At 37.5% G+C, this 23,571-nt stretch overlaps 1 protein-coding gene across 5 annotated transcripts in view; it reads left to right on the top strand.

The window, feature by feature from the left end:
• Positions 1–23,571, top strand: part of STRN3 (striatin 3) — a 132,576-nt gene that overhangs the window by 64,783 nt on the left and 44,222 nt on the right. For 4 of the 5 annotated variants that reach the window (NM_014574.4, XM_005267569.5, XM_005267570.5 and 1 more), the window contains exons 2-5: positions 5,355–5,458; positions 5,904–5,977; positions 10,653–10,734; positions 14,334–14,507. In NM_014574.4, the coding sequence (NP_055389.3) occupies positions 5,355–5,458; positions 5,904–5,977; positions 10,653–10,734; positions 14,334–14,507 (434 nt within the window). Of the gene's footprint in view, positions 1–699; positions 2,531–5,354; positions 5,459–5,903; positions 5,978–10,652; positions 10,735–14,333; positions 14,508–23,571 lie in introns of those variants that run through there. The other variant, XM_047431321.1, reaches the window with a different exon arrangement.

Genomic DNA, 23,571 nt, shown 5'->3' with positions numbered 1-23,571 from the left:
AGCACTGTACATAATTATATGTATTGTACTTCTGTATGACTGACAACACAGTAGATTTGTTTATAACCATCAGGACAAACGTGAATAATGCGTCTAATGCGTCCCACTACAATGTTACAATAGCTACGACTTCTAGACTTCTACAACTTCACTAGGCGATAGGAATTTTTCAGCTCCATTATAATCATATGGGACCCCTGTTGTATATGCAGTCTGTCATTGACTGAAATGTCATGTGGCACATGACTGTATATAATGTTCTTTGTCTCTTGTCTTTTTTAAAATTTTAAGCCTATTTTGTCTGATATTAGTATGGGAGATTGACAGACTTTTAAAGTAAGTATGTTAGGTTTTGTGGGCTACAAAGGCTTTGTGTTGCCTATTCTTTGTTTCTTGTTTTATGGTACTTTAAAAAACATTTTTAGTTTTAGGGCTATGCAAAAACAAGCCTGGGATAGGTTGCCAATTCCTCTTTTATCTTGAATAAAAGTTTTTAAATTGTAATGAATTTTTAATCCTTTTCTTTATGGCTAGTGTTTTTGTCTTTTTTAAGAAATCTCCCCTTAATCTGAAGTTGTGATGATACTTGTTATATCCTAAAAGCATTACTGTCCTGCGTTCATATTTAGATCTGTAATCCTCCTGGAACTGTATGAGGCAGAAAGTATCAGGCAGATGTTCATTTTCTTTTTTTCTTTTCTTTCTATTTTTTTTTTTTTTTTTTTTTTGAGATGGAGTCTCACTCTGTGGCCCAGGCTGAAGTGCAGTGGCACCATCTCAGCTCACTGCAAGCTCCGCCTCTCGGGTTCACGCCATTCTCCTGACTCAGCCTCCTGAGTAGCTGGGATTACAGGCGCCCGCCACCACGCCCGGCTAATTTTTTGTATTTTTAGTAGAGGCGGGGTTTCACCGTGTTAGCCAGGATGGTCTCGATCTCCTGACCTCGTGATCTGCCCGCCTCAGCCTCCCAAAGTGCTGGGATTACAGGCATGAGCCACCGCGCCCAGCCTCATTTTCATTTTTAGCCCACATTTGGATTCTCTATTACTAAGCACCATTTTTGAAGCAACCATTTTTTTCTCAATGTTCTGCACTGCCATCTTTCATAAATCATGTGATCTTCTATGCTTTAGTTTGTTTCTGGACTTTCTGTTCTGTTTCTTTGGTTCATTTTCCTATCCCTGAGTCATCAGTGTCTTAATTGCTGCAGTGTTATATCTTATTGTTTAGTAGAGCAAATTCTATCACCTCATTCTTTTTGTTTTTCTTGAAACTCTGTTGCCCGGGTTGGAGTGCAGTGGCCTGATAGCTCACTGAAACATCTGCCTCCTGGGCTCAAGCAGTACTCCCACATAGATGGGACTACAGGTGTATGCCACCACACCTGTCTAATTTTTGTATTTTGTAGAGATAGAGTTTTGCCATGTTGCCCAGGCTGGTCTTGAACGCCTGGTCTCAAGCAATCCACCCTCCTCAGCCTCCCAGAGTGCTAGGATTATAGGCATGAGCCCCCTGTACTCGGCCCATCTCATTCTTTATAATTGTCTTGGCTGTTCTAGGTAATTTGAATTTTTTTTTGGTAAATTTTAGTATCAGCTTGTCAGGTTCTACACATGCAAATTCAGAATTTGATTGAAATTAAATCTGTCAGTCAATTTGGGTAAAAATTGATATTTTTACAGTAGTCAGCTAGTCCGTTTAGGTTGTCTTTAATGCCTTTGTTAAATTTTTATATTTTCTGTGTAAAGCTCTTGCCCATCTTTGGTGGTTTTTTCCTAGTTACTTTTATCTGTTATAGTTTTGGAGATGGAGTCTTACTGTGTTGCCCAGGCTGGTCTCGAAGTCCCTGGCTCAAGCAATTCTCCCCCACCCCCCAGCTTCCCAAGTAGCTGGCATTATAGTCATGTGCCACCTTGCCTTTTTTAGGTACTTTTATTTTTTGATGCCATGGGGAATGTGTTTTTTGAGGTTACTTTTAAAAGTGTTTATTTGCAGAGATGATGCTATAACATTGCTGAAAAGTAGATTGTTAATGATCCTGTACTGAGTGCTAAATTTATTATTTAATTGGTCATTATTATGTTATTATCACTATCAGGTATAACCTTTACCTTTTCAATCAGTTTACCCTCTAGATACGTGATGATATGAGGTCATAAGGTCAGTTCCAGTCATTATGACTTCTCTCTCATTTACTTGGTCCTCTTCCATGTATTTTTGGTTAATCCATATGTTGGTGGTGGTGGTGTTTGTTTTGTTTTGTTTTTTTCTTTTCATTCAGGGTCTTGCTCTGTCGCTCAGGCTGGAGTGCAGTGGCAATCATGGCTCACTGCAGCCTCGACCCCTCCGCTCAAATGATCCTCCTGCTTCAGCCCCTCAAGTAGCTGGGATAACAGGCGTGCACCGCCACACTCAGTTAATTATTAAATTTTTAGTGAAGACGAGGTGTTGCTGTGTTGGCCAGGCTGGTCTCAAACTCCTGGTCTTAAGTGATCTCCTGCCTTGGACTCTGGAAGTGCTGGGATTACAGGTGTGAGCCACCATGCCCACCCTAGTCCACATTTTTTAAAAAGGTTTTGTTTTTAATTCTTGAGCGTTTTCCTTGTCCTAAATTCTCGCAAATTATTTCCTTTCAGCCGTCTGTTCAGTACCGCTTTGGAATTTTTGCTTTTTGGTGTGTGGTTTGTGCTTGTCTATTTTACTAGATTGTCTAAGTGTGGATAGTTGGTAATACAAAAATTCAAAAAAAGGAAATGAAAACCAATTCTCACAACAGTATAAGATTCTAATAGGAAATACTGCTGCTGGGTTGTCTTTTTTAAAAAGAACCCTCTTAGAGGACATTATGACTTTCACTTACTTTCAATGCCTTTCTCAATCAGAAACCCACCAATTTTTACTTCTTCAGAAGCAGAATAATAAAACAGGTTTCCTTCAGCTTTTTGTAATGGTAATTTTAGAACACTTATTAGATCTGAAAATTGAGAGATACATAATGGTTCTATAGTATGGGCTTAGTGGTTTTTAAAAACAACAACAACAACAAACAGCCAACACAGGAGAAAACACTAGTCAGAATCTTACTTAAAAGTGTATGACGAATTTGACATCTTTTCCCTTTGCTCCACAGCTTGATAGAGAGTAAGTGCTGCTCTTTTCTTCTGGATCATAGACTATTAGGTTCTGAACTTTTATTATTCCTCCTAGTGCTTTTTAAAAATTTTTAAAATATGTATTTATAAGTGTCATGTAGCTGCTTATTTGTTTATTTTTATTTTTATTTTTTAGAGGTAGGGTCTTGCTTGTCGCCCAGGCTGGAGGGCAGTGATGTGATCGTAGCTCACTCTAGCCTCACTCCTGGGCTCAAGCAGTTCTCCTGCTTCAGCCTGCCAAGTAGCTAAGTCTACAGGAACATGCTACCACGCCTGGCTAATTATTGATTTTTTGGTACAAACAGGGTCTCGCTGTCTTGCCAAGGCTGGTCATGAACTCTGTAGCTGTTTATAGCTTCTCAGGTGTTAAGAAGTTGTAGATAATTTCATACAAACTTTTTTTAGGGTAACAGTTTTTTTGACGACAGCAGTTATTTATTACTTAGGTGTTTTTATTAGTTGACTTGATTTAGCTGGTCTCCTTGGCTAATATATTTCTCTTGTAGAAATGAACACATCATAACTAAAGTTTTAACAACAATTTAGCTTACTGAATAGCTTTCTTTCTCATACTGAACAAATGCACCTGTGTCATCTCTGCAAGAACATTCTACCTCTTGTGAAAATTAGTTTTATTGTCAATGTGTAGATAATGGCAAATGTCCCCAGACAGATGCCAGTCTCTTTCAACATTATTCTTTAGTGTGAGGTGGTTAAAGCAGGCTGACATATAGGGAAGGGCTAGAAAAAGGCAGAGAATTGCTTTTTTCAGGAAATAAGGATAAAAGGCACTTAAGGAAAAAAATTCTCTCACAGTGGAAAAATGACAATAGAAAGCAATGAGGTAATGGAATATATGGTGGCTTACTTAAACTATTTGTAATAGTATGGCATTTACTGTTTCAAGAATTAAAATGGAATTTGGAGTGGGGTGGTACAATGGAAAGATTATACATTTTCTTTTTTCTCTCTCTCTTTTTTTTTTTTTTTTTGAAATGGAGTCTCACTCTGTCGCCTAGGCTGGAGTGCAGTGGCACCATCTCGGCTCACTGCAAGCTCCACTTCCTGGGTTCACGCCATTCTTCTGCCTCACCCTCCCGAGCAGCTGGGACTACAGGCACCCACCACTACGCCTGGCAATTTTTTGTATTTTTTAGTAGAGACGGGTTTCACCGTGTTAGCCAGGATGGTCTCGATCTCCTGACCTCGTGATCCACCCGCCTCGGCCTCCCAAAGTGCTGGGATTACAGGCGTGAGCCGCCGCGCTCGGCCCCTCTTTTTTCTTTTGAGACAGAGTGTCGCTCTGTTGCCCAGGCTGGAATGCAGTGGCACCATCTCGGCTCACTGCAGCTTCCGCCTCCCAGGTTCAAGCGATTCTCCTGCCTCAGGCTTTCGGGTAGCTGGGATTACAGGCACCTGCCATCATGCACAACTAATTTTTGTATTTTTGTAGAGAGGGGGTTTCACCATGTTGGCCAGGCCGGTCTTGAACTCCTGACCTCAGGTGATCTGCCTGCCTCGGCCTCCCAAAGTGCTGGGATTACTGGCATGAGCCACGTGCCTAGCTCAGATTATAAATTTTCTAGTATTTCAAGAAAAGCTTTTGAAGTAATCTGTTTTTTGAAATAATATGTCATTTTCTGACGTATTTATCTACTTGTGGACATGTTTTTCAGTTCTTTGTGAATTGTATGTTAGGAATTAGGTGGCATTTTTATGTATATTTTTCTTTCAAGGTTATGTGAAGGTGAAATATTAATATTAGGGATCTTAAGGATTATAAACTAGCTAATTTATAGTTATCTTTATTTTAAAAGGGATGTGTTAGATCTAACAAAGTTTGGACATTTTATGAGTTTTTTTTGTTTGTTTGTTTGAGACAGAGTCTCCTCAGCCTCGAGTAGCTAGGACTATGGGCACACACCACTAAACCTGGCCAATTTAAAAAATTTTTTGTAGAGATGAGGTCTCACTATGTTTCATAGGCTGGTCTAAAACTCCTTGTCTCAAGCAGTCCTACTGCCTTGGCCTACCAAAGTGCTGAGATTACAGGTGTGAGCCATTGCCTGGCCCGTTTTTATGAATTTAAAATCTTGATATCATGAGTCAAGTGCAACAGTTTGTGTTTATCGTTTTCCATTTTTCAGTTTCCTATGTATGGTTAAGGGAAAATGTAAATAAATGCATCTTTTATATTTTTAGGCCCGGATTGCATTTCTACAAGGCGAAAGAAAAGGTCAAGAGAACCTGAAGAAGGACTTAGTAAGAAGAATAAAGATGTTAGAGTATGCATTAAAACAAGAAAGGTATGTGTGCCTCATTTTGTTACATGAATAAAGTAGAACAATAGTATACTCATGTATACCATTGTACTCTGTATTTGGCAGCTTTTTTTGAAAGGTACAAATCCTTGCCCGAATACATGATGCTGTCTTGATTTGATTCATACTTGGGAAAGAAAGGCAAAAGAGATTAAAATAATTCAATTGAAATGTGTTTTGTTACAGAATCTAAATTTTGGAACTTAAAAAAAAAGACAAAGGATAATTGATCTTTTTTTAACTTTTGGGTATGTGTTACTTGGGAAACTTACCTTTTTTTTCTTTTACAGCAATATAGTCTTCAATGTTCTTTGCAAACAAAGTTTAAAGAAGCAGACATTCATATTATGTTTTGTTATTGGAGTAATATAAAGCAAGAGTGACAAAAAGAAGAAGTTGTGATTTTACTAATTTGTGATTAAATTTTCAGGGCAAAATATCACAAATTAAAATATGGCACGGAACTGAACCAAGGTGACTTGAAAATGCCAACCTTTGAGTCAGGTAAACTTGCTTCTTCTGTTACTTTTTTTTTTTTTAATTCATTTTTTATGTAACAGACATGTTCTCTTTACCCGCATTTTGGTTTGATAATATTAGAGAATGACTATTGTAAACTGTCTAGAATTTGGGAAAAAATATTAAATGAATAAAAGTAAATAGTTTCATATACATCTTAATCCTGAGGCAACTTGTCTTATTATCCTTGAGTTGAAATCTGTGTAAAAGTGTGGTTGCATTTATGGTAGTAATTTGAGCTGAAAGGTAACAAAGTTAGGTATTATAGTAAATTTTAAAATTTTAGTTAATTGTTTTTGAGTTCAATATTAAGTATGTAGAACTTGGAGAAACACACACCATACATAAAATTTGCAGTTGATTTATTTTTTAGTCTTTAACACTTTCAGTCTTAGCAGCAGAACTTTAGAGCTTCCATTTGTTGTCATACATATAAAATTAAGAGACCAAGATGGGAGTGGCATAGGTTTTCTTTGACCTGGCTTTTCAGTGGTTATGAAGGCTTATTCTGATGCCAAGAAACTGTATTAGAATCTCCTCCTTGGAAAAAGCAAAAATCAGGAACAGAAACATGGAAGGTCTACTTTTTCCGAGCCATGATTATTATAGTCTTCTCTTTGCAGTTAAAGGGAGTAGAGTGACTTCACCAGAAAAATACCTGGTGAATTCAGAGCTTTTTTTTTTTTTTCTTGACTCATTTTATTTCCAGTATGGCTAGAATATTCAGAAAATAAGCAGGCACTTCTAGAACTGTAGGGCTTGGTCTGTGTGTAAAGAAAGGAGGCTAGTTAAAGCCACACTGAGCCTGCAGTAGAGGCTAAGGAGAGTCAGAATTGGCTAGGTGGTCCCAGTATAACAGTTTGTATAAAGCAAGATAAGTCTTTTTTGCTCACAACTGAAATTGTGGCAAGACAATCTGTTTTTATCTGTATAAACCTAAATATTAAAAGTTCCTCAAGTTGAGGAATAAAATAATATCCAACCAAGTATTTTCTTTACAGGACACACAATAACAGCGAAGTAAAATGTTTTCAGTTATGTAGAAAAATTCTTCAGGATGTTTAGTGGAAAACCAAACAAAGGGATGGGCAGAAGTATATCGTGTGAACAAAATATTGTAAAATTATTTATGTCAGAGTATATATGGAGATAATATTAAATGAAACAATGTCGCCTTTTATATACCCCCAAAGAAATCAATATAAGAAAGAAAATGTACAAAATATTGATTTGATCATAGTAGAAGATATATAAGTATTTATACCCCTTTCTCAGTAAAATAAATAGATACAGCCTAAACCTAACCTTATAAACGGGTTATATTAAAATATAAAAGAGTTCCCTTTCTTCTACATTTGGAAAACAGATAATCAGATAGAATAATGGGCAAAAGACTTAAAAAGACACACCATAGAAGAGGATATATAAATGGCCAATAAATATATGAAATGTTGCTTGATTTTTATTAGTTATTAAGAAAATACAACTTAAAACCACAATGGAATACAATTAGACACTGACCAGAATGGCTAAAATGCAGAAGAGGCAATATCAAGTGTTGAGGATGTGGAGTAACTAGAATTCGTCGACATTGGTGTTAGGATTATATATTGATAATGCTGCTCTGAAAGTGACTTGACACTATGACTATTATTAAAGAGGATATAACATACCTAGGCCAGGTGCTGTGGCTCATTCCTGTAATCCCAGCATTTTGGGAAGCCGAGGCGTTGGATCACTTGATCCCAGGAGTTCAAGACCAGCCTGGACAACATGGCAAAACCTCATCTCTACAAAAAATACAGAAATTACCCAGGCTTGGTGTTGCATGCCTGTAGTCCCAGCTATTTAGGGGGCTGAAGTAGGAGGATTGCGTGAGCCCGGGAGGTCAAGGCTACAGTGAATTTTGTTCACACCACTCTACTCCCTCTTGGATGACAAAGTGAGACCCTGTCTCAAAAAATATTTATATACATACCCTATGATCCAGTAACTCCACTCCTCAAAAAGCATATATATGTTCATCATGAAGCTTGTGTAAGAATTTTCATAGCATCATTATTTACAGTGAAAATCTGGAAACAACTAGAACAGTCTTCAGAATTAGAATAAATGGATAAGTACATTGTGATATGTTAGCATAATAGAATGCTGTTTAGCAACAAAAGTGAGCAAACTAAAACTGAATGTGACAACATGGTTTAATCACATAAAACTGAAAATTGAAGAAATTATTATATTCAAAAATCTAGATAATTTTAGAAATCAAGATAGCATTCATACCCTTTTTGGAGTGGCTAGTGACTGGAGGGCACAAGAAAGGCTTTTGGGGATGCTGATAATGTTTTGTTTCTTCATCTAGGTACTGGTTACATGGGCGTGTTCAAAAATTCCTTGAGCTATACACTTGATGTACTTCAAGAATATCCTTAGCAACATTATTTATAATAGAAAATGGAAACTAATTTCAACATTAGGGGATTGGTTAAATAGGTATATATTTTCTATAGAATATTATGCAGTCATTTTTTATGTTAATCTGTATTGCCATACAGAGAATGTTCAAGGTACATTTAGTGTCAGAAGCAGATGATAGTGCAGTATATACATTGGCACATTTTTAAAAAGGGTGGGGTTGTATTATGTATATTTTCAGGTAGAAAATAAGAAATGATAAACACTAAAGTACTACCAGTTGTTAATTCTTGGTAACAGGGTTTGGGCAGTCGTATATCTTGTTTTTTTAGTATTTTTTTCCTCCAGTGATTATGTGTTATATGTAATTTTAAAATGTTATAAATAGAAAAATCAGTAGAGGGACTATTAGAATGAAATAATTATTTCTGGAAATAAAAGAAATGCTTACGTTTGGGATAGAATAAGTGTTGTTTTTTTGGTTTTTTTTGAGACAGAGTCTTGCTCTATTGCCCAGGCTGGAGTGCAATGGTACGATCTTGGCTCAATGCAATCTCTGTCTCCCAGGCTCATGCAATCCTCCCACCTCAGCCTCCCAAGTAGCTGGGACTACAGGCACGTGCCACCATGCCTGGCTAATTTTTGCATTTTTTGTAGAGATGAGGTTTTGACATGTTTCCCAGGCTGGTCTTGAACCCGTGGGCTCAAGCGACCCACCTGCCTTGGCCTCCCAAAGTGCTGGGATTGCAGACCCTTAGCCACTGTTCCCAGCCAGAGATATTAATAATTGGACTGTTAGGATTAGAGAAATAATGTCTGAAGAGGACATTTGAATCACTACTAAGTGATTTTGAGGAGTCTAGGAGCCTCACAGAGTCTTCAACATTCAGTATGAGGGTTGATCTTCTAAGTCCCTCTCTTCTTCACTGTGTCTTTATGTTAATAATGGGAACTTACGGGGAAGTATTTCTGTGATATAAATGTCAATAGTTTTAAATTTTGTTATAGAGATGCTAGTTGAGAGATTAATCTGAAATCATACTGTTTATTAAACTCTTTTTTTTTGTTGTTTAAGACAGGGTCTCGCTCTGTCGCCCAGGCTGTAGTGCAGTGGTGCAATCTTGGCTCACTGCAACCTTCACCTCCTGGGTTCAAGCGATCCTTTTGCCTCAGCCTCCCAAGTAGCTGGGATTACAGGCATGTGCCGCCATACCTGGCTAACTTTTGTATTTTTGCTAGAGACGGCGTTTCACCGTGTTGCTCAGGCTGGTGTTGAATTCCCGTGCTCAAGTGATCTGCCCACCTCAGCCTCCCAAAGTCCTGGGATTACAGGCGTGAGCCATTGCATCTGGCCTAATCTCTTTTTATTATTTTTTTTAATGTGTACACTTTGTTATCTGAAAATAAAATAATGACTCTACCTATAGTAAAAACTATTTTCTGGTTTAATTTTAGTTCCAAAAAAGGAACTTAGCTAGATGAAGTCCTGTGATGTAGACTTAAGGTCCACTGATATAGACCCCATATTAAGGTATTCAATATTTTTATGTATGCCTAATATCTTAACAGTGTTGATTTTGAATAGCTCATATAATACAGCTTTTTAATTTCAAAGGCAATCGACTTAGCGGAATTCTAGTAGTTAAAAAAAATTAAATTGCCAGGCATGGTGGTTCACACCTGTAATCTCAGCACTTTAAGAAGCTGAGGTGGGTGGATCGCTTGAGCCTAGGAGTTTGAGACCAGATTGGGCAATATGGCAAAACCTCATCTCTTCAAAATACAAAAATTAGCTGGGTGTGGTGGTACATGCCTGTGGTCCCAGCTACTCGAGAGGCTGAGGTGGGATCTCTGGAGCCCAGAGAAGTCGAGACTGCAGTGAATCGAGATGGTGCCACTGTACTCCAGGCTGGGTGACAGAATGAGACCCTGTCTCAAAAAAAAAGAGAAAAAATCAGTTTTAATAATATTTTATCTCCTGGGCATTTGATTCCTTGATACTAATAAAGTACACTTGGGTTTTCCCTGTTTTAAAATGGGGGACATAGTACTTAAGTCATTGGGTTATTAGGACAAACACATTTAAAATGAGTGACCCACAGTTAATACTTAGATGAAAGTTAATTTTTTCCTGTCCTTTATAAAATAGGTATGTTTTTATGGGAATTTATCCCTAAGAAAACTTTGGCAATATTTTCAGGAGTCGAAATAAAGTATGTAAAACTTTTTTTTTCTTAATTTTTAGAAGAAACCAAAGACACAGAGGCTCCCACAGCACCTCAGAATAGCCAGTTAACGTGGAAGCAAGGCAGACAGCTTTTAAGACAGTGAGTAATTACTTATTTTCAACCTTCTTTAAGGATCTAGGTATGAAAGTGCTTATACTGAATCACTTTACAAGTAAAAAATCATATTGGGACAATGTGTATGTTTTTTGTATTGCTGCTTTTTTTGCTGTGTAGATGCTTGGATCTTTTTAAAAGTTTGTTTCCTCTGAGTTTCAGGGTGATGTTGTCTTCTTACTTGCAGGGTAGAATGTCCAAAAGACTGGATGACTTGAGCAGAACAAAAACAATATAAAATTCATACTTGATAGAGCCCTCCATTCCTTTCAGTGCAGAATTCACACATTTCTTTTCAGTGTGGGTGTGACCGGTCTAGAGAATGAATTTAGTTGAATTCATCTGAAACTTTTCAGAAGTGGATTGCCAAATCTTCCTTTCAGTTGAATTTTTAAGGAGCTTTTTTGAATTTTGAATTACTTGCTGTATTGGAAATATTTCTCTGGCAAATCTTTTTTGTCTTTCATGTATTATTTTCCTTATATTTTGAAAATTTTGGGATTTGTAGCCTACTGATATCCTGGGTGATTTTCAGTTATTCAGCCTTTTCTGCTGTAGGTATCTTTACCTTCACTCTTGATCTTGTAGAACTATCTTTAGAATATTTCATAGTCTGGACAGTCATCATGCATTCCACCTCCGACCACTGTGTTATTTGCCCTCTGACTTTACCATGATTTTTAAATCCTTAACTATATAATTTTTCTCTTTAGCTCTTCTACCTATGGTTGCTTTTATTTTATTTCTGTTTCCCTAGCTCTAGCTTAGACTCCATAATTGATCACCCTTATCTAGTATTTTCTTGCTGCCCACTGTTTACCACTTCCTCACCAGTCATTTTACTAAATGTACCTGAAAAACTCTAGCCCTTGTTCACTATGTCTGTCTCTTTCTAGTTAACTCTTGGATAAAAACTACAGAATCATGTGAATACTATTATGTATTCATAGTTTCCTGTCCAAACATTGCAGAGAGCCTTTTTTCATAACCCTTGGCCACCCCCTGCTTCCATTGTCCTCAGTGGATATTCTAAACTTTTACCACATAGCCCATTCTCCCTTATTTCATTAAAGCACTTCAGGCTCTGCTTCATGGAAAATGTGAAGGCTGTCAGGTGGCAATTCCCTTAACACTTTCCTTTCTGTAAATGTATTTTTTTTTTTGGAAACGGAGTCTATGTCTATCACCCAGGCCGGAGTGCAGTGGCACAATCTCTGCTCACTATCACCTCCGCCTCCCGGACTCAAGAGATTCTCCTCCCTTAGCTGGAGTACAGTGGCGCCATCTCAGCTCACTGCAACCTCCGCCTCCCGGGTTCAAGCAATTCTTCTGCCTCTGCCTCCCGAGTAGCTGGGACTACAGGTGCATGCCACCATGCCCGGCTAGTTTTTGTATTTTTAGTAGAAATAGGGTTTCACCATGTTGGCCAAGATGGTCTTGATCTCCTGACGTCGTGATCTGCCCGCCTTGGCCTCCCAGAGTGCTGGGATTACAGGTGTGAGCCACCGCACCTGGCCTCTGTAAATGTATTTAAACCTCTTATATTTTACTTTAGTTTCTTACCATTCAAAAAGGTATTTATCAGTCCAGGCTCTCCTTATAAGTGACTAAAATTTGAAGGAAAGAATAGATTATTGATTGGAAGGATGCTGGATAACTAGCAGAATTGAAGGAAATAATGAACAACCAAGTGTCAGGAAGTGAAGAGCTAGGATAGCTTGGAGGCCCTCTCAGACTGGAAACTCTAAAGACATTCTTATTTGATTTTCTGCTCCTCTCTATCTTAGGTTTATTCTTTTCTTCTGAAAACCACTTTTTTTCTGTATGTCAGAGAACACTCTGTAAGTGTTGTCCTGACTGATCAAATAATTGCCCATGAGTCAGTCATTTTTACCTGGGTTGTATGAGATCTTGGCAGTTCATTCAGACCAAGTGGTTAGAGTATGATGGGAGCTGTTCTCCCCAAGAGAGGACTGCATTTTTTAGAAGAAAAGTGAGGACAGCTTTTCTGGACAGTAGAGAAATCACTTGGACAGTATTCCTCTCATAAATGCCTAATCCCATTGCCTGATTTACAATTTAGTCTCTTGCCACCTTTATCTTTCCCTGTAACTTTATAGCTAAACTTGTTAAAGGTAGTTTATCTCCATAGTCTTCCTTCTTGTTCATTTGTCAGCTGTCTGTTTTCCATTTTGACATTCCTCTGAAGCAACTATCACAAACGTATTCAAGAGACCTTTTTTGTTATAATTGGTGTCTTGGAAAAATTTGACATTAACTATTCCTTCTTGAAACTTTTATTTTTGCTTCCATGACAGCACTCTCTGCTATCATTTTTTTCCTCTAATTTCTCAAATATTTTCATTTTCCTTTGAGTTTTTATTATGATTCTAGTCCTTTGGTTGTTTGTATACCCAGACTTTCTCTCCTTATTTATGCTTATTCTCTGAGTGACTTCATTTAAATCCATGGCTTCAAATATTACCAAAGATTAATGACCCACATCTGTATACCCAGGCCAGTCTCTTCTGAGCTTTTGATTTGTATCATCTATGTGCCTAATAAACATTGTCACTTGTATTTTTTTATAGACACTATATGGTTGTCTGATAGGTACTGTATAAACTTGATTCTGACTCTGTATAATTTTTTTGAATGTACCCATCATGTAACCATCCAAGCTAGAAACCTGAAAATTGTGTAGAGTTCTTACTTGTTTATTCATTCTACTTCCACATACATTTGTGCATCATGTCAAAGAGATTGTATCTTGCTTATTTTTTTTCACATTTATTCTCCTCCATTTTTACTTCTTGCTAGTGTCCTGATCTAGTCTTTTTCTCTTTAGCATTCACCTAAAAATCTTTTGTTCTTCTGCCAGCAGTATTTAAGGCATCTTTTAAGCATCCTTCATTAGCCTCTTAAATACTTTAATTTGTCACAGAACCATTCACAACTCATTATCTTTGTATCATAATCTAGTCCCTTTCTTCTTTTCCAGTCTCATCTTAGATCCTAGGTTAAGTTCCTTAGTTTAGATATGGTGAAAGATTGAAAATCACAGGACTGGAGGAGTGCTATGAGATCTTAGATCCTAGAAGGAGAATTAGTGTGTTCATCAATCTCTAGTTAACAACCCCAGGTTTAAACTTAGTATGTCTGTGTGCTAAGATGCAGTTCTACTCATTCTTTACTGCTCCTTGGAAATTAAAAAATGTGTGTGTGTTGTGTTTGTGTGTGTGTGTGTAAATTAAAAACAATGTGTGGTTGTGTGTATGGAAATTTAAAAATGTGTGTGTGTGTGTATATAATCCTAAAAGCATTTTAAGACACTAGGGCTTCTTGGGTTTTGAGATAATTGGCTCTTAATCAGTGTTAACCATACTATATGCTTTTTAATTTAAATTTTGGTTTGTATTTGGTATTGTTCTCTTAGAACTGGAACTAGTCTGTAGAGAAGAAAGATACTGAGACAAAGGGAGAGCATATTTTATAGGATTATGGGTTTTTCTAAAATTTGATGTGATTTTGAGTCTGGCACATGTTAACAGTATGTGGATTTTAATATTTATTTTCTCTTACAGGTATCTTCAGGAAGTAGGTTATACAGATACAATATTAGATGTACGGTCTCAGCGGGTAAGGTCATTACTTGGACTATCTAATTCAGAACCAAATGGATCAGTAGAAACAAAGAATTTAGAACAGATCCTGAATGGAGGTGAATCTCCTAAGCAAAAGGGACAAGAAATAAAAAGGTATGATTTATACTTAACATAGTTTATATAATGGATATTATGGATATTGTTATTGTTAATCTCTTTAGCTCCTTGTTACTGCCATTAAGAACTTTTTTTTTTTTTTTTTTGACACGGAGTCTTGCTCTTGTCGCCCAAGCTGGAGTGCAATGGTACGATCTCGGCTCACTGCAACCTCCGCCTCCCAGGCTCAAGCAATTCTCCTGCCTCAGCCTCCCAAGTAGCTGGGATTACAGGCACCCACCACCACTCCTGGCTAATTTTTTGTATTTTTAGTAGACACGGGGTTTCACCACGTTGGCCAGGCTGGTTGCGAACTCCTGACCTCAGGTGATCCACCTGCCTTGGCCTCCCAAAGTGCTGGGATTACAGGCGTGAGCCAGCGTGCCCAACTGCTATTAACAATTTTTAAAGCAGATCGAGTTCAGAGTTAAAGACCTAGCCACCTCCCACCCCACTCCATGGTACCATGAGCAAATAAATTTTCTAAATTTTCTGTTTAATGGCTTTCAAAATTTATCTATGTTAAGTTGGTGTTTGTTTTTTGAGTCAGGGTCTGGCTTCATTGCCCAGGCTGGAGTGCACTGGTGTGCTGTCGGCTCATGGCAGCCTCTGACTTCCATGCTCAAGTGATCCTCCCACCTCAGCCTCCTGAGTTGCTCAGATTCCAGGCATGCGCCACTATGCCCAGCTAATTTTTTTTATTTTTTGTGGAGATGGGTTCTTGCTCTGTTGCCCAGGCTGGTCTCAAACTCCTGGCCTTAAACAGCCTGCCCGCCTCAGCCTCCAAAAGTGCTGGGATTACAGGCATGAGCCACCGTACCCAACCTGTTAAGTTTTGATAACAACAGAATGACTAGTTCGAAATAGGTGCAGAATCAGATTTGAGACTGATTTCATGTAGTTCAGAGCTATTTTAACATCCTTATTTTAAAATTTTTTGCTAGAGTATTTTCAACAAATTATAATGCTACTCTCACTAGAATGAGCAATGGTTATTTAGACCCTAGCGTGAAAGAAACAAAGCTTTGCATTGTGTTTGGATTCAGAAAGCTACCAGATAAAAATGTTTATTGAAATAGAATTTACATATCATAAAATTTACCCATTAAAAAAATACGATTTAATAGTTTTTAGAATACTTAAAGAATTGTTCAGCTATCACCGCAATCTAAGTTTAGAACATTTTCATCACCCCTAAAAGAAACCCCATACCCATTAGGTGGCCGCTCTCCATTTCTCCCTATCTCCCAACCCTGGGCTACCACTAATCTACTCTCTGTCTCTGTAGATTTGTATATTCTGGATATTTCATATAAGCAGTCTTCTGTAAGTGGCTTCTTTCACTTAGCATATTTTCAAGGTTTATCCGTGTTATAGCATGCATCAGCACTTCATTCCTTTTTATTTCTGAATAATACTCCATTGTGGATATACTACGTTTGGTTTATGTGTTTCTTTTTTATTTTATTATTATTATTTTTGAGACAGGGTCTTACTCCATTTCCCAGGCTGGAGTACAGTGGCATGATCACGGCTCACTGAAGCCTTGACCTCCCTAGGCTCAGGTTATCCTCCCACCTCAGCCTCCCGAGTAGCTGGGACCACAGGTTCACAACACCATGCCTGACTAATTTTTGTAGAGACAGGATTTTGCTATGTTGCCCAGGTCTTGAACTCCTGGGCTCAAGCAGTCCGCCCTCATTGGCCTTCCAAAGTGCTGGGATTACAGGCATCAGCCATCACACCCGGCCTTCATTGTGTGTTTCTTATATAGGTGATGGGTATGTGGGTTGGTTCCAAGTTTTGGACTAATGAAGAAGATTGAGGACCTGCCAAACTCTTTTCCAAGGTAGCTGCACTGTTTTACCTCCCCACCAGCAGTACTAAAAGGATTCTGATTTCTCCACATCCTCATCAACACTTGTTATTGTCTAACAGATATACTTTTGATGAATACGGAATTGATAAATACAAGGAGTTAAGCATTTTTACCATGAGACGTTACCCTGAGTAACATAGGTTAGAAAGACAAAGAAAATGGGGAAAAAACCAGATGAGTTCATTGAGGTCATTTAGAGCTTAATAAATAAATAATGTATATAGTTTATAAACATTATTTTATACCCTAGATGTATTTTATGATATTGTGCAGTTATCTAAAATATATTCTGGTCGACTGGGCACAGTAGCTCATGTCTGTAATCCCAGCACTTTGGAAAGCTGAGGCGAGTGAATCACTTGAGATCAGGAATTCAAGACCAGCCTGTTGACCAACATGGTGAAACCCCATCTCTACTAAAAATATAAAAATTAGCTGGGTGCACGCTTGTAATCCCAGCTACTTGGGAGGCTGAGGTGGGAGGATCGCTTGAACCAGGAGGCAAAGGTTGCAGTGAGCTGAGATCATGCCATTGCATTCCGGCCTGGGTGACACAGCGAGACTCCATCTCAAAAAAAAAAAAAAATGTGTATATATATGTGTATATATATATGTATGTGCGTGTGTCTGTGTGTGTATATATATATATATATACGTGTATATATACATGTATATATATGTGTATATATTATGTATATATACATGTATATATATGTGTATATATTATGTATATATACACATATACATATGTGTGTATGTGTATTTTTTTCTGTAAGGTTTAAAGTTAACATAAGCCTTTGATTTCGAGTTTTCATTTCTGAGAAATGACTATTAAAGTCAGTTTGACATCAGATAGAGCCCTTATTTTCTATACTGTGATTTCAGGAAGCATAGAGTGTTTTGTAGCATAAGAGAAAAAGCGGAAATATTATCAAATATTTTTAGCCAAACTGGTCACCCACGTAGTTCATAGAATTTGTAAATATTTTACAGCAATACAGGTTTGCCATACCACGTCTGACTCTGAATCTGAATCAAAGATCCTTTCGTTTTTTTCCCCCTCACTCTTAGTATCATCTTACAAAGATCCTCGATAAGCTGTATCTTCTCCTTGTAAAGCTTCTTGCCTTTGCAAAATTAAGATTTTGATAGTTTTTTGGAGTGTGTGTGCATGCGTGTATGTTAAATACAACATGGGATCTGCCCTCTCAACAAACTTTAAAGTGTGCAGTATTGTTAACAGAAGCACAAAGTTCCAACTCTCTGGAACTTTTTCATCTGGTATGACTGGAAACAATAACTTTCGAACAGCAGCTCCCCATTTCCTCCTCCCTCCGGCCCCTGGCAACCACTATTCTACTTTGTGTTTCTGGGTTTGACTACTTTAAGTACCTCATGATTGGACTCATGCAATATTTGTCCTTCTGTGGTTAGCTTATTTTACTTAGCGTAATGTCTTCATGGTTCATTCTTGTTGTCATTTATGACAGGATTTCCTTCTTTTCATAACCAACGATATTCCAATGTATGCATATACTGCATTTTCTTTATTTCTTTACCTGTTGATGGACATGTAGGTAATAGTTGTTTATTTGTTTAGTGTTGTTTTGAATGGTGTCTTGCCCTGTTGCCCAGGCTGGAGTGCAGTGGCACAATCACAGCTCACTGTAGCCATAACTTCCCAGGCTCAAGCAATCCTCCCACTTCAGCCTCCAGAGTAGCTGGGACTACAGCCACATGCCACCACACCTGGCTGATTCTTTAAGTTTTTGTAGAGACAGGACCTCATTATGTTCCCCAGGCTGATCTTGAACTCCTGGACTCAAGTAACCCTCCTGCCCCAAGCAACTTCCTGCCTCAGCCTCCTAAAGTGCTAAGATTATAGGCATGAGCCACTGCGCCTGGCCGGAAATAGTTGTTTTAATCGAGGCTTTCTTCTTAATGCATACAATAACATTTTCTGATTCTGCCCTAATGTAGGCATGTTATGGTTGAGCCATTATTAGGGCCATTTGAAAACCCCTAGGAATAAGAAAATGATATAACATGTGGATCAAGATTTCAGCAAAATGATGTTTATTACATTCTTATTTATAATAGGAAAAAATTAGAAGCAGTCTTAATGTCCAAAAGTAGAGGATGGTAAATTTCAGATTCATATTTTAGAGGCAGTATGCCTAATGGTTAAGAATATGAATTCTGAAGACAGACTGGATTTGAATCCTAACTTAACCACTAGTTACTAGCCATCACTTTGGACAAGGAACATTACTTTCCTTATTTGTAAAATGAGGATCATAGGATTGATGTGAGGAAGGAATGAATTAATGTAAAGCATTTAGAACAATGCCTGACACACAGTAAGTGTTATATAATTGTTAGCTATTAGGAAATATTGTGTATCTAGTTGAAATGTGACCCCCACCAAGACTAGTGTTTATTAGATGCTATCGAGTGAGTGGCACTATTGTATTTCTTGATTTATGGTAGGGTATGGTTGTGGTTGTATAGTGCATCATATCACAAAGCATCTACTTTATAAGGACTCATTGGGAAAGTTCTCTTAGATCTTATAACTGGGAAAAGTTGTGCTGTTTCTTAATAATTGGTCTTATTTACCTTTGAACCTCCAGTTGTTGCTCCCCGCCCACCTCTTTTTTTAACCGTGTTTGGAATCTCAGGGCCAAATTTGTGGGCCTCCTCTAGAAAATGCATTGACACATTTAGTCTTTTACTTAGCAGCCTTACCTTTGGCTTCATTTTGTTTTCCCTTTCATCTGGATTTATTCATTTTTAAGATTCTGTTGTCTCTTTAGAATGAGAGAGGGTAGTAAATAAATAGTTGGCAAAGAGAAAAATTATCCACAGATGGAGACTTCCATTTTAAATATGGTAGGTTAAAGTCACATATTACTTGTGTGCCTTTCAGAAATTTTGCTAAAGGACAGTGAAGGGCTTAAGATGCATTAACACAAAAGAACAACAACAAAAAAAACAATGACATACAGAAAGAATGAGAGAGTATACTGTCTGTGAGATAGGGAGAATTTAACGATTTGGAATCCAGAAAGAAAATGGAGGAATGGCAACTGACTGAGTGACCCTGGGAAAGCTTATTAAACATAAGTGCATTTGAGAGTGATAGGATGAAGAAAAGGAATAAGCCAATTCAAGTCACAGAATTCCAGTAAAGCCACAAAGGCTAAGGAATTATAGGTATTCAGTGAGGTTTAAATAGGGGTATGAATAGAGAATTGGTTTAAAGTTTATTTAAGAAGCACAGGCTGGGCATGGTGGCTCACGCCTGTAATCCCAGCACTTTGGGAGGCTGAGGTGGGCAGAACACTTGAGATCAGGAGTTTGAGACCAGACCAGCCAACGTGGTGAAACTCCATCTCTACTAAAAGTACAAAAATTAGCTGGGCATGGTGGCAGGCGCCTGTAATCCCAGCTACTAGGGAGGCTGAGGCATGAGAATCGCTTGAACCTGGTAGGCAGAGGTTGCAGTGAGCCGAGATCATGCCACTGTACTCCAGCCTGGGTGACAAAGGGAAACTCCATCTTGGGGGGAAAAAAAAAGTTTAAGAAGCACAATGTTGAATCCTCTCTTTCATCTTGTGAAGCTGGTTTAACACCACCCCTCCCCTACTCCAAAGAATGGTAGTGTATTTTCCACCAGTGATTTTTGTTTTCTCAAGAAATAAAACAACTGAAAGATGGGGTTATTGTATAAAATGAAAACAGCAGGGTTGTATGAAAGTCTCCAGCTGAGCATTGAGGTCTCCTGTTTTCTCCTACTGTGTGACTTCCAGTATGTTGGCAGCTTTTATCCCTTACAAGCAAGATATTGAAGTTGAATCACATTAATAGGAAAGGCCTAATGGTACTGAAAATTGGGATATGTCAGTGAAATGGCTGGGCCTGTGTCCTATCATGCAGAAGTTAAGTCAGCAGCTTGACAAGAGATAGCCATATTCTTAGTCCTTCTGGGCTGCTGTAACAAAATACCGTAGACTGAGTAGCTTATAAACAATAGAAATTTATTTCTCACAGCTCAGGAGGTTGGGAAGTCTAAGATCAATGTGTCAGCATGGTTGGGTTCTGGTGAAGACCCTTTTCTGGGTTGCGGACTGCCGACTTCCCACTGGGTTTTCGCATGGTGGAAAAGGCAGGCTCCTTTGGGCCTCTTTTATAAGGGTACTAATCCTATTCATGAGGACTCTGTCCCCATGACCTAGCCACTTACCAAAGGCCCACCTCTTAATACCATCATATTGGGGATTAGGTTTCAAAATAGGAATTTTGCTGAGGGACATAAACATTCAGACCATGGCACCCATGTAGACAGTACACCAGTTAGGACCAAAAAGATAGGAAAATTCAAAGATCAAGTTGAGAGGGTCAATGTCGGACTAGGAGTTTCAAAAAGAGAAAACAAATCAAGTGTTGAAAACTTGATTAAAACAGTAATACAAGAAAACTCTCTGGAATATATTTTCAGAATGTATTTCCAGGGATGTTTGTTTCCAGATTGAAAGGATTCTTTCCAGTTACTCCATAAAATCAATGAAAAAAGATCCATACAGCGGCCATAATCATGAACACTAAAAATTAAGAGGAAATTCTAAAATCTTCCAGATAGAAAAATTAGACTACATTGAAAAGACTAGGAATCAGGCATTATTAAATTAACATTCAAAGCTGGAATATAGGAGAGCAGTGCCTTAAAGATTCTGAGGGAAAGTGAGTTCCATTTAGATTTGTATACTGAGCCAAGTACTGTATTGTTTGTGAAAGTATTAATAGCAAAAAGAGACATTTAGATATGAAAGCCTCAAATTTACCCTTCATTTTTTCTCAGGAAGCTATTGGAGATGTTTCTCAGAATTCTGAGAGACTAAGTCAAGAAGGAAGAAAGTGTAGGATCCAAGAAAAAAGATATCTAATAAAGAGAGGCAAAGGAAATTTCAGGAAACAGTTGTGCAGTGGGCCTGGACATTAGCCAGAGTAGAATGGAAGGAGGACAGAACACTGGAAGGAACGTTTCTTAGAAAATATGAAATTAATACATTGCTTTATGTGTTTGAGGATTTTGAAAGGAGATGTACAGTTCTGCTGGAAAATTTCAGAGGAGAATAGTGGTAACATCCTTGGAAAACCAGGCAATTAAAAAAAAAACACACTAGGCAGTTATTTCAGGAAAACTATATATAAAAGAAAGGAAGTAGAGTCATTGTAATGTGATTTACATGGACATACTAATATGTACTTACAGTGTAACCATGGAATATTAATAAAGCCAAAAGTAAACTGATGTAACTATATTACTGTTATGGGAGGAAGTGTGGATGTGGGATGGAGACTGTAAGGGAACTACATTTTTATCAAGAAATAGCAATCTGAGCATGTTATTTAGAAAAAATAGGGTAAATAACAAAGGGAAGCTTCTTTAAAAATAAGTTTAAAAATGGTTGTTCCTAGTGTGTAGGAATCAAAGATAGAGAAGGATGGGGCAGGGGACTCTCTTGTTACTCATTGTATGCCTTGTCAATTTATTTAGAACTATTTGGCTTTTTTTCTCCTAAGTATTTCCTAGCAAGCAGAACTTCATTTTAGCAACTGCAGCAACAGCAGCAACAGCAAAAGATTGACGATACTCATGATCCCCAAATTATTCTTAGCTAACTTCAGTAGAGCTCTAAAAGTTGCCTGACAAACCTTTTCTTTTTCTTCACTGGCTGATTCCTTATTTCATTCTTCAGCTCAGCAACTCTTCTAATCTTTTTCTACTCTTCATCAACTCCACTCCAGACTGCGTTCCTTAATTTTAGTCATTCTTATAAGTTTGTGACCCTACCTCATTTTTGTTTTGTTTTTTAGAGACAATTCTCCACTGATCTGTTTCTAAACATCCTGTGAGCAGAGACACATATTGCCCTTTTATTCTGGACTATCTATTTAAGGATATTTATATAACAAACAACCTTGTAAGATAGAGACAGTCTTCTGGGAAGTCATGCTTACTGTTCAGTATAAATGATTCAAGTTCCCTAAGCTCAGAGTTCCTCCGCTATAATTCAAATGAAATGTAAGTGTAACATCTACCTGATTACCTCCTTGCCACCCTTGTGGGACTTGGGCAAAGGAAATTCAGCAAACATGATCCTATTACTTTCTGTGCTCCTGAGGAGAATTCTTGTCTCTGACTCAATTTTATGACTTATTTCAGGATCCATGAAACAGTAATAGGCTAGGTTGTTAGCATGAAGGCAGGGAAAAACCTGAGACCTTTCATAGTCTATGATCCTTTAATTTTTATTTCCCTAAAGACTAATGATGTTGAGCATCTGTTCATATGCTTATTTGCATTCCACCTATCGTTATGATGCAATGTCTATTTGAAATATTTCCCCATTTTTTATTGTTTTGTTACTGTTAAGGTTTAAGTGTTCTTTATATACCCCTTGACACAAGTTTTTCATGAAATATAACTTGCAAATATTTTTTCACAATTTATAGGCTTTTCTTTACATTCTCTTGGTGTCTTTCAAAGAGCGAATGTTAATTTTGGTGAAATCTGATTGACCAATTCTTTCTTTTATGCATTGTGTTCCATTTGACTTTTAAAGCCATGCACATGTATTGCTGTGATTAAATACAGTTTTAAAACCTGGAAACAGGAGGTACTCTTACTTTAGAGACAGAAATTTCTATCCAAGGAGCAGCAGTACTTAATTTTTCAAAGTTCAAAACAAATATATCTTTAAAAAAAATTCTTTTAAATTATTGTATCATTGATATGCTACTTTTGTCAAATGCATTCATTGCCTTTCACTTACTCTCCAAATATTAAGTTATATTGTAAATTTTGAGCTGAAAGTATATTTTGTTGTGGTAGATTTGTGGTTGTTTTTACTAATTTGCATTTGAAGAAACCATCTCCTACATTCAGTCATTATACAGTTCCTTTAAACAGTGTGCTGGATTGGGTGGGATATAGTACAACCTATTAAAACTCTTTGTTAATGCTATTTAAAAAATATAGTCAACCCTTTCTATCTGTAGGTTCTACATCTATGGATTGAAAATACCACATTGAAAAAAAAAACGACAATTAAAAAATAAAATAATACAAATTTAAAAATACAGTGTGACACCTATTTACGTAGTATTTACAGTGTA

The sequence above is a fragment of the Homo sapiens genome, chromosome 14 (genome assembly GCF_000001405.40).
Source record: "Homo sapiens chromosome 14, GRCh38.p14 Primary Assembly".
Lineage (NCBI taxonomy): Eukaryota > Metazoa > Chordata > Mammalia > Primates > Hominidae > Homo > Homo sapiens.
This window is presented reverse-complemented; position numbering and strand designations above follow the sequence as displayed.